This window comes from Homo sapiens, chromosome 10 (genome assembly GCF_000001405.40).
Source record: "Homo sapiens chromosome 10, GRCh38.p14 Primary Assembly".
NCBI classification, from domain to species: domain Eukaryota; kingdom Metazoa; phylum Chordata; class Mammalia; order Primates; family Hominidae; genus Homo; species Homo sapiens.
This window is the reverse complement of record NC_000010.11, coordinates 47,316,535-47,328,053: the sequence shown is the minus strand read 5'-3', so window position 1 is coordinate 47,328,053 and position 11,519 is coordinate 47,316,535. Positions and strand designations below refer to the sequence as shown.

Genomic DNA, 11,519 nt, shown 5'->3' with positions numbered 1-11,519 from the left:
ACATCACTCACTCCAGTGTGCACACACATCACTCCAGTGTGCACATCACGTCACTCACCCCAATGTGTGCACACATCACTCACACCAGTGTGCACATCACATCACTCACCCCAGTGTGCACACACATCACTCACCCCAGTGCGCACACACATCACTCACTGCAGTGTGCACACATATTACCCCAGTGTGCACACACTGCATCACTCACTCCAGTGTGCACACACATTACTCACCCCAGTGTGCAAACACATCACTCACCCCAATGTGCACACACCACATCACTCACCCCAGTGTGCAGACACCACCCACCTGCATCCACCCAGTCCTGAGATGGCTGCCTGCCCCTCCCCTCTGCCTCCTTAGGAAGGGGAGGCCCAACCCAGTGGGGTCTGGAGGGTGGGGTAGGCAGGGTATGAGTCTATAGGGTCCTCCAGATTGGGTCTCACATTCAGGAGGGGCTGCAAATTAGACATTTGACTTTATTTCCGAGTGAAATTTTCAAGCAGGCACAGAAGCACACCACCAGGACTGAAAGAAGATGCTCAACACCCAACTTGGAATAGCATTGTAACACTACACTGCCCGGCATGTAGCAGGAATTCATATTTTCTATAACGCCAGTAATTAAACAAGAATGTTTCGTTGTATTTGTGTGTTAAAGTTGTTCATTGGTTCCATGTAAACATTTAACATAACGTTTTCCCCACCCCCCACTTTTTCTTAAATAAATGGGAGCTTCAACCACGGGGAGAGGCCCTGGCCTCTCTAAGCCTCCCCTAGGCCCTGCTCTGGCTGGAGGTCAGAGGGCCATAGGTGCACTCTTCACCACTTTCAGACTCTTCCTCATACCGCCCCGTTCCATGTGTGGCCTGGAGAGACAGAGGAGAGGGTGAAACACAGAGCAAATGGAAGCCTTATCTTCCCTTGTGTTCGGGGAGGCTGAGTCTGGTCCCACAGTCCGAGCCCAGGCGGGGTGCTGGGATGCACGTGACTCAAGAGAGCCGGCAAATGCAGGCAGAGCCAGTGATAGCCGATAAGGACTGCAGCTCTTCCGAGGCTGGAGAGGCCTCGCCCAGGAAGGCTGGAGTCTTGTCACTTAAGGACATGTCACCAAGGAATAAAAATAGATATGTTTCAAAGACCAAAGCCAGAGCACATTTAATTCCAACAAATTCAAATCCAGGCCCGTCTCCCATGAGGTTGTCACTGGGGGGCACCCTGGGCATGGCATGCTGGTGAGCTGGCTATGCAGAGTAACTGCAGAGGTGCTGGCCACAGGCTGCCCCATCCCTCAGGGGAAAGTGTGCCCGGCCCTCTCAAATGGTCACATGGTTTCAGTCTATGGACAGTGAATGGCCCTGTGTGCACCACTGGCCGTGGGAGCACTGCACCAGGGGGTCACAATAACTCCAGCCACAGTGTATCATGCAGCCCACAGGGCTGCTGTCCTGACCTCTCTCTCTATCCTGCAGTTGGCCTGGGGTTATTTTTCAGTGCCTCAGGGGTCATATTAAAAAGCATGTGGCCGCTGAGTGAGCACTGGCAACAGTGGCCAGACCACGCCCTGTGTGTGACAAGCAGCCCAGTCACACCTGTGACTGATGGGCCTCAGCCTGGCCTGGCCTCAACACTCCTGGGCTCCCAATGTCTCACTGCTCTTTAGCTGGAGAGGACCTGCTAAACTGCAGCAGGGCACTTGGGAAGATCCTGGGCTTTGGTGTCCCACAAATCTGAGTTGGAATCATGCCATTGATCAATGCTACTTGATCTGCCTGTGTTTTATGTCTCTAAATTGGAAGCCATGCCCCTCCAACTGGGTTGTGGGAAATAACATACAATGATGGGTGTGACACGCGGCCTGCTCCTTCCCTCTACTCCCCAAGGGTTTTGGAGCGAGCTGGCCTCCTCCACCTCTCTAACTTCCATCAGTCTCTGCAGTGACCTGCCCGCCTGTGCTCCTCTGGCTCACTGCTGTTGTTTTCTGCTGACTATGGATTATTTTTCCCCCTGTCTCCTTTTCATCACCTCCTTGCATCCCAACAACCCTCCCAGGCTTTCCTGTTGTGCTCAAATCCCCATTTCCTTAGCCTTCCCTGGCAGTTGAGCTCAGCGGTGTATGCTTTGGGTGGGGTGTGGGGAGGGAGAGCAGGCTCCCTTTCCTCCTCCAGGCTGGCATGCAGATTGAATCAGTCCTTGTTGTGCCCAGGGGCATGCAGGACCTCTCATGTGGAGCCCCTTTGGCCTGCCTCCCCAGCCCCGCAGGCAGATACTACCTGCACCCACACTCTGCCACGCTCATGCCCTCGTAATGGTACTTGAGGGTGGGCACCCCCATGTCATCCTTGTAGAGGACGGAGATGGGGCTCAGTTTGGTGGGCACACAGCAGGCCTTGCCCACCTTTGTGGGGAACTTGAGATGCACCAGGGTCTGCACGATAGCGTGTTTCGTCGGCGTCACATCGTCAGCCAAGGGGAAGAAGCAGCCGCCCTTACACTCGTAGGCTTCATACTCCTTGGGTGCAATGATCCAGCTGTCCCAGCCGATGTCCTCGAAGTTTACCCGCAGGGAGGTCTTTTGACAGTGGCTGCCAGCCCCGGCGCTCCTTTTCCGCCTGGCTAAAGTCGACCCCGCAGCCACGTGGCCATCCGTGTCCTCCTCGTGACTGCTCTCACCTGCCTCTGTGGAGCCGTCCTTGGACAGCTTCTTGAGCACGCTCTCTTGTTCATGGCTGATCATCTCCCTCAGCTCCAGCCTGGTCTCCTTGGTCCCACTGCTGTGGTCATTGGAGAAGACAACAAAGAAGGGCAGGTTTCTGGAACCTGGGGGGACACTGATGTCCAGCGTGTCGCAGCCCTTCCTGTGGCTCTCCACAGTCACTTCCAGCTTATTTTTGCTCTTGGTGGAGTCGGACCGGACCCAGCGCTTCACGGCGCTGGACACTTCCAAGGTCTCCCAGCCCTCATCCTGAATGTCCTGGGACACCAGGAAGGTCTTGGTCTCTGTAGCACTATCCCAGGCATCTGTTCCATCCAGAACATCATAAATGACCACGCTTCCTTTCAGGTCATGAGAGGGGTCCACGTGATTTTGACAGGAGACATAGAGTCGGAGCTCAGCTCTGGTGATCTGCTCATGCCTAGGAATGGAGATGTTGAAGAGCAAGATGTGCTTCTGGAAGGGGAAGTCCTCTGTGGCAGTTATGGAGATGGCATCTGAAATGCAAACACACGTGGTGGGCATCTGCTGGAGGGTCTGTTTCCATGACACTGAAGCTGAGTCTCAGGGTTTAGACAGAAGAGCATCTGGGATAACAATTTTGGTCTGTATTATCTCTATTTGGTTTCACCCAAGCCCTTAAAGTATAAGAGTATTTTGAAAGGTACACTTAAGATCTTCCAAAGGAGATGCCTCCAATTGGGATTGAGAGTTCCTACTGTTTATCGAGCATCTACTATGTGCCAGGCATTACACTGGGAGCTTTGCAGAATACATTTCACCTTAATCCTCTCACTTACCCTGGGAGGATCTAATTATTATTCCACATTTGCAGATGTGGAGACTGGGATTCAAGGCAGTTAATTGCCAAAATGCATACAGCTAGTTAAGTATTCTGGGACTTACTAGCACACAGCTATTGAGTACATAAAGAAAACAGAAAAACTCACTGTCAGATCCTGAGTGAAGATCCTGAGTGTATGAATTTAAAGGAGAGATCCTGGGTGGGGACAGTGAAACCCCAATATTAAGACAATATCAAAAATCTCAGCCTCTAAACAGTGTATAAATCGTTTGAAATTGTAATTTCCAAACAAAGCAAAAGTGGATAATTGGTTTTAGTGTTTCAGGAACAAAATCTATTAGCTTCAATTGCTTTGTCATGTCAAGCAAAAATGGGGCTTGGCTTTTAGCCACATAGTTATCTCGATATCCCATTTATCCTGGGCTGACACTTTGTCATTAGCACGCTCCTGCTATACAATGGCTGGTTCACAGACAGGGAAAAGAGGTTGCATTTTTTCAGCACTTGCTATATACCCACATGTGTGGAGACCCTGTGCTATAGGGAAACCTAGCTGGCAGGTTTTGAAGTGCCAGTCCTGCCTCTGCAGACCAGTTAGGTCTGGCCTGGGCGTGGTATGGAGCCAGGCCCCTTAGCCATTTGCAAGTCTCAGACCCAGGAAGGGAGAGGCTCTGTGCTCCTGGACATTCAGAGGGAGACAGCAGCAGCAGGAAAAGCCAGCTCTGCAGGCAGACAGGTTTAACACTTCCTAGGTGTGCAGGCTTAACACTTCCTAGGTGACATGGGTGGGTACCCTTGGTGGCTGCAAGCTTTGACTGAACAGTTTTGCTCTTCAGAAACTTATTTCCCCTGCATCATGTGAGCTTGTCTGAGTTAGGACATAGGTCCTAGGTCCGTGTTTGTTATCTTCTAGTCCTTCTAAATCAGATATATTTCTATTTAAAAACAATTAGGTTCTCTGCCAACACTTCTCTGTCCAAGAATTTTATCTGATTTTTAAAACCGTTTCATAAGAAAGGAATAGATGTGCTTTGAAAATTTAAAAATATCCCAGTTAGTTGGAGGTGAAATAGGTTGCCTGTTCTGTTCTGAAGTAGGAAGGGGACAGGAAGGGAAGGGGGAAAGGAAGAGAAGTGAATCAGAGGGGAGTGATGCAAAGAAGAGGAGAGTAAAGAGAAGGGGTGGAAAAAAGAGAGCTGGCATCCCTGTGCACCTGCTGTGTGAAATGTGGCACACAGCTTGGGGAAGGTGAATCCTTCACAACAGAAGTGCTGAGTAGAACTCTCAGTAACCATGGAAATGTTCTTCAGTCTGCACTGCCTGATAGGGAAGCCATTAGCCACGCATTTGAAAGGAAGCTGGTGAGGCTAAAGAAATAAGTTTTAATTTTATTTCATTGTAACTAATTTAAATGGAAGCTTGAAGAGCCTCCTATGGCCAGTGGCCTCCACCCTGGGGAAAGCAGCTGTGGACCTGTGAGTCCCACCCCAGCGCGCATGGTGCAAGCGGAGACCCTACCTTCCATGCTGAAGCTCCGCACAATGTTGGACGCTGGCGTAGTCGACTTATCGGACGTGTACCTGTTGTACAGGTCAATCATGTACTGCGGCGGCTCCACCCTGGTTTTGTCCTGCGAAGGGACCCCACTCAGGTTAAGGCTGCGCAGGAAATCCACCTTCACGTTCTCCAGAAACATCTTCAGGTTGAAGGTGTGCTCAGGCAGCCCACCTCCAGGCACCCCCAGTGGGCTGTGGGCGTTTCCCCCAGCAGACCCTCGTCCCCAGCTCTGCAGTGGCTTCCCCTGTAGGGAGCCAGCCAGCAGGGACAGCAGGGGCAGGGCCACCCACAGTGCCCCAGGACACATCTTAGGCCCGCGCAATCACCCAGAGAGGAGACTGCAGGCGGCCGTGCTGTGTTAGCGGGCACGGGGAGGAGCTGGGAAGGAGCGGGCCGGCATCTCCCTGCTGTTTGCTCTGAAGGAACCGTCCTGGCCAGCACCCACTCTCACCCGCTGCCGGGCTGGATTGTCCTCCACTTGTGCTTATCTGGTCCTCGATGCCGCGCTCCGACGTCTTATCTGAGGGAGCCTTCCGTTAATGAAGGCTCTATAAACATCTGACAAACACACAGGGCATGCGGGAAGGACACGGCCTACTGTAAAGAATCTGTGCTTCTCCAGGGGGTTATTGCCCCCTAATTAGGATACTTTCTCATTTCCTTGCCAGGGCTCTTCAGAAGAATCTCCAGGCAGGGTGACATATGCTCCATCTCCTGGGCCACAGGAGTGAAGAATCCAGGAAACAAGACCAAGTAGTCCTCCAAATATAGAAAGGACAGCACAAGATCACAGTGAACCGTGGGGGCTGGGGAGATGGGGAGAGTGTGGGGACCACATCAGGGCTCAGAAGAGGCCTGCTCCTTGCAGAATCGGAACCTGCCAGCAAGCCTCCCTGCTCTGTTGGTGGGATGCACTGCTGAGCATTAGAGATCACGAGTGAATATGGCTCCCGTGCAATTTAGTGCGGTGATGAGTCAAACTAGACACAGGCTGGGATCTCAACTCCCTCACCGATTCCCTGCAAATGTCACCTGGAACAAGTCACTGCAGCTCTTGGAGCCTCCCATTCAGAAGATAGTTATAGGGGTTAAGAGGATGCTGTGCCCCAGGCTGGCTTGGTGGCTGCATTCTGGATGCCCCCTCTCCAGCCCAGGCCTGATTGAGCTGGAGCTGGGGGAGGAAGCCCTGGGTTCCCCCAGCCTGCTCTGTCGGAGCTCCACAACACACTGCAGCCTGTGGGGAGCTCCCCACATCCCTGCATCCCAGCTGTGTCACTGGTCTGTTGTGGGGTGGTCTTAGCTCACACCAACCTGGCAGCCACCTGGCCCACACTCATCAGCAGGGAGAACCACGCAATCTGGTAGACAGGGGAGTAGGTGGGTTGTTCTGAGAGTGGTACATGCCAAGAAGATGATCCCCTGGCCTTTGGAGGCTGATAAGCTGTGGCCCAGGAAAGGGCCCCAGGGACTGCGTTAAGAGCAGTATGTCCACACTTAGACTCTGTCCATTTCCATCACGTGTGGCTTTGAGCAAAGCAAAGAAGGATCATGGTTAGAAACACTCTGGGGTATGCTGTGCCTGGTGGTTTACTCTGGGGAAGGTATTCTATGCTGGTGAGGCTGTCCGGGAGAGGCTGCAGAGAGCTGAGCAGGTTTAGGGGGGTGCAGGAGGGGCCACAGCATGCTGCGGTCAGAGATTGCAGAGGGGGATGGGTGAAATCAGGAGCCCCTGAATGGCTGGGCCTGAATAGAACTTGCTATCTCTGTCCTTTGATGACATGGGCCAGGGGAAGACGGGAAGCGTGCTGCTTCAGAAATGCTGCTTGGGAAGAGGACTGGAAGTGTGCTGGGCTTTGATCCAGCTCAGTGCAAGAATTCCATGGGGCAGAGAAAAGATGAATAAATGGGTGCCATGCCCAAGAAATGGAGCTGCAAATGCGGAGTGAGGTGTGGTCCGGGAGGAGTGAGGACAGGGCAGATGCCTGCAACATGGTCTGGCCAGGAGCTTTTCACACACGAGAGGCTGAGCAGAGGGATAGCCTAGTGGCCTGGATGTGCTCAGGGAGGAGCAAGGGGCTGCTACCTGACGTTATTTTTTAAATGTGACATTTTTTTCCCCTGTTATAACAGTAGTCTATAGTATAGAAAACTTGGGAAATGGAAAACATTAAAGAGAAAATAAATAACCTACAATTTAATCATCCAGTGATGCCCATGGTTAGCATTTTGAGACACATCCAACTCCACAATCCTATATCTGAAACCATTGTGGCCAGGATTGTGTTGAGACTCCGACAGTTTCAGATTTGGGGGATTTTGTATTGTGTATATGCAATAACATTCCCAAAGGGGTCAGAGACAACACCTTATAATGACACACATGAATATTTCTGCAGTGAAACAAATAAAGACACAAATGTCCATTCAGGTCAAGTTTTCCCAGAAAAGGAATTAAAAGAAACTCTAGGTTCTCAGATGGTTCTTTACTTGGAGGTCTCAGATGAAGGACTATGGACCTGACTGTATCCAGGGTCATCACAGCTGCCTGTGGGTGCTGGCCACACAGACTCTGACATGGGTGTCTTTCCCTGGAGCTGTGCAATGCAACATGCCGGTGTATATCTGAAAAGATTTGCCTCACAAACTCAAGATATCAATATGTTCACATCTCTTTCATTGTATTAAATGGATTGCTTGAGGTTTCCTGATCCATATTATCAGGAAGTCTAGTCTTCTCCTTTTCTGAATTGTCCAAGTGCTCCATGGGTAAATTAAGTCCAAAGGAGATAGGGTATGAAGGTGTTAGTCCAGCTTCTTCATGCTGGGAAGCGGGAGGGAGAGAGGGGTCCCACCTGCTGTTGCTTCTCAACAACACTGGCTTTGCTGTTGGGCACTGGTCCTACATGTCTAAACGGCTGCTTGTTCTTAGCTGCTGGAATGTCCTCTAGCCCAGGTCTGTGGGGTGGCCCCCATGAGGCAATAAGGTAACAGTGTTCTTAGACGTGTGCCGGGCTTACCCACCTCCAGCATGCGTGTCTCTGTGGCCAGTGGCTGGGTGAAGGTAAGAGGCCAGTTATGGTTAAACACCGATTCCAACCAGCCCTTTCTCAAATCTGTAGGCTCTTACGGGGGGCCTAGGTCACCAGCGGGACTCCCACTTTCATCAGGTGGTGATTTCAGGGACCTGGTTACCTTTTCATACAAATGGACCCTGGTCCATCTGAGAAAATCCCCCTAACTCTGGGTCTTAGGGAACAAGTCTCAAACTTGCTCTGATTTTCCCAGGAGGAAACAGACCCTGGATGTTCCCTCCTGCAGAAGGACCCCTCCCTCTGCTATCACCAGCTTTGCATTGTTGGGGCCTCAGGAAGGAGCTGCCTCACTTGAACCACAGAAGGTCTTATTTATCTCTCCTTTCCCCCCTCTTCCTCCAAATTGTGTACTTTCTAATTCTTCACCGACTTCCCAGGGAAGTCAGTCCACATGATTATTCAAAGACTAACGATCTGAATTATGGTAGTCTTATGTGTCTATACCTAAATAAAGCAAAGACTGGCATAAAATTTAAGAAAATCTACACCAAAGTGTCTTCAGTCTCTGCCTTAGGTTTACTTTCGAAGCCACTTGAGGTATACATGGTTTGATATATACAGGCTTGCTTCTCTTTGACAAAAATTTTTTAATTAAAATTTTTAAAATGTTGTCATTTGGATTCCTTTTGTCACAGGTTGCAGAAAAGCAGAATCCAAACAGGCCTAAGCAAAGTGGATTGCACCTGACTAATGAAACCTTCTTGGTTGGCAACGGTTTGGCTTTAGCGTGGCTTGAGCTACAGTACAGGCAAAGTTCTAGCCATGCTTTCTCCTCTCTCAGTCCTGCCTTACACTGTGTTGGCTTCACGCTCCATCTCTCTGTGTCTTGGCAAGGTGGCCGCTCACTGCAGCCGGCCCGCATCCCTTTCAAATGGGTAGCTAGGTGGGGTCAAGGAGGAGCAAAAGCCTCTTTTCCAGGAAGTCCTAGGGAGTCTCGTGGTGTCTCTCTGACTCTGATTGGATAATCTACAAACACTCCAGCCAATCACCGTGGCTGGGGGAATGCAATGTCCTGAATGTCCTGATTGGCTTAGGACCCTGGGATGGGCGTGGCGCAGACAGCACAGGGAGAGAGTCAGGTTGGCAAGAACCCCAGAAGGGTCTAGGTCTGGGCACTAGGAGGAGGTACTGGGAAAGGATTGTGTAAATACCTTCCCACTTCGTGAAAAGCTTTTCATGAACTTCATTTTTTTTTTTTTTTTTTTTTTTTTTTGAGACGAGATCTCACTCTGTCACCCAGGCTGGAGTGCAGTGGCATGATCATGGCTCACTGTAGCCTCGACCTCTCTGGTCCCAGGTGATCTTTCCATCTCAGCCTCCTGAGTAGTTGGGACCACAGGCATAAGCCGCCACGCCAGCCTAATTTTTATATTTTTTTATAGAGATGGGGTTCTGTCATTGCCCAGTTTGGTCTCAAACTCCTGGACTCAAGTGATCTGCCAGCCTCCACTACACAAAGTGCTGGGATTACAGGCGTGAGCCACTGCGTCCAGCCCATGAACTTCATTTTTAATGACTAAACATTTTCCAGTTCTATGGACATATCTTAATTTAGTCAAATATTTTCCAATGGTAGGACAATCAAGACTATTAAGATAATGTTGCAAGACACATTGTCGTACATTGTTATAGTGTATATTTTGTATTATTTTATTGGACAGGTCATTGGAAGTGGAATATCTAGGTCAAGGTATACATAACATTTGCAAAGCTCTTGGTAAGCATTGCTAAGCGGCTTTCCACAAATGCTTTTTAAATATTCACTCTCAGCTGAGCCTAAGAACTCATCTTACCACACTGTTAACCAATACTTCTTTCTAATCCTTGGCAAATTAATGAACAGCAGCAACAAAAATGCTAATTTGCATTGCTCCTTAGGCTGGACTATATTTTCCCCCACTTTTTTCAGGAGACAAACCACAGGATCTGGGCTTCAGCCTCCAAGGAGGTATAGCAGTGGCCAGGTCTCATCCTGTGCTAGTCCAGGGCCGTGCTCAGGAATCACATTTGTTACCGTGCTGTGAGTCTAGGGAGAGGGCCAGAGGGCACCACAGATTCCTGGGTGTTCCACAGGAATATGGCCCAGGGTAAGCATGCAATAACTAGTCATTAGTATTGCTCCTGTCAGTACATGATCTTTCTGTGACTGTTTCTCTCTCCCCCACCCCTGGGACAGCTCTGCCCTTCCTTTCCATGGAGCTGCAGAGGGAGCTGTGCTCTTCCACCAGGACCACCTCATGTCCCTTCCCCCTGTCCTCCACCAGGGCCAGTTCTGACTGCCTTTTAGTACCTGCCTAGGACTCCTGCACCATGCAACCTCTGTGTTCCAAGAAACAGTTGGATTCATCTAACAACCACTAAAGGGCCCCAGGGCTGCTCCTCTGCTGGCAGCAATTTGACATGCCCAGTGAGCCTGCCGGGCCTTCACAGCCAGCCAAGGCTCCTCCAGGGCAGGCCTCCCATGCTCGTCTCTGCATATGTCTTTGAACACCTCGGCATGCTCTGTGGTGGGTGCTAGTCAGGCTGGGTTCTGCCCCAGTGGCTGCCAGCTTGGCCCTGTCCTCCTGTCTCTTCTCAATACCCAGACGGTTTCACATGACTGTGCTGTTGTTACTTTTAACCAAAACCTCAGTAGGGTCACAAATCTCAGGACTTGTGAATTACAGAAACCATGGCATCACTGCAATTGGTACGGAAGAAGCACAATTCAATGAACAAAAGAAGTAAACTTGACTCATCCATTTATTTCAAGCATCCTTGAAGCCCGTTCCTCCAAAAAGGTGACATTGACCTCAGTGTTCCTTCATGGAGGGAGAAAGGATTCACCTGAGTTTCTGTTACACCATGACTCCAGAGCATCAGGGACCCCTTCCCTCCCAGGAGACATCACTAAAAAAACCTGTTCTCAAAGCATGGCCATGGAGCCAGCAGCAGCAGTGCCTGGGAACTGGATAGAAATAAAGGCTCAACCTGAATCAGAAACAATGCTAGGGGGCCCAACTGTGTCAAGCTCTCCAGGCAACTCTGATAGGCATTTTGCACAGTGGTTTTGACAAAAGAGGGAACTCATAAGAGCCTTCCAAGAGAAAACATATGAATACATTGCCTAGCATGGTATTTGGCACATAGTAAATGCTACATAATTGGATAAATAAACATATTTCTTCTCCATCTGACCCACCTATCCCTGACCCATACAAACAAGCCTGCTGGGAGATGCTAGAGGAGCATGGCTTGGGGTTGGGCTGAGCGTGAGTGAGCGGACTGGAGGCAGGATAGATAGAGGATTCATGGACATTATTATCTCAGGGAGCAGAGAGAAGGGGAATGGAAATCCCAGAAACACCTG

The 11,519-nt window shown here is 50.3% G+C and overlaps 1 protein-coding gene across 1 annotated transcript; it reads right to left on the bottom strand.

The window, feature by feature from the left end:
- Nucleotides 466-5,600, bottom strand: GDF2 (growth differentiation factor 2). Its single transcript, NM_016204.4, has 2 exons — nucleotides 5,040-5,600; nucleotides 466-3,213 (listed from the first exon to the last, which is right to left on the bottom strand). The coding sequence occupies exons 1-2, from the start codon at nucleotides 5,383-5,385 to the stop codon at nucleotides 2,270-2,272; spliced, it is 1,290 nt and encodes a 429-aa protein (NP_057288.1). The 5' UTR covers nucleotides 5,386-5,600; the 3' UTR covers nucleotides 466-2,269.

Excerpts from the sequence above, each read along its gene's own strand:
- GDF2 (NM_016204.4), bottom strand. The coding sequence starts at position 5,385 with ATGTGTCCTGGGGCACTGTGGGTGGCCCTGCCCCTGCTGTCCCTGCTG. Across the intron at positions 3,214-5,039 it reads GCGGAGCTTCAGCATGGAAG|ATGCCATCTCCATAACTGCC; the intron begins GTAGGGTCTCCG and ends TTTGCATTTCAG.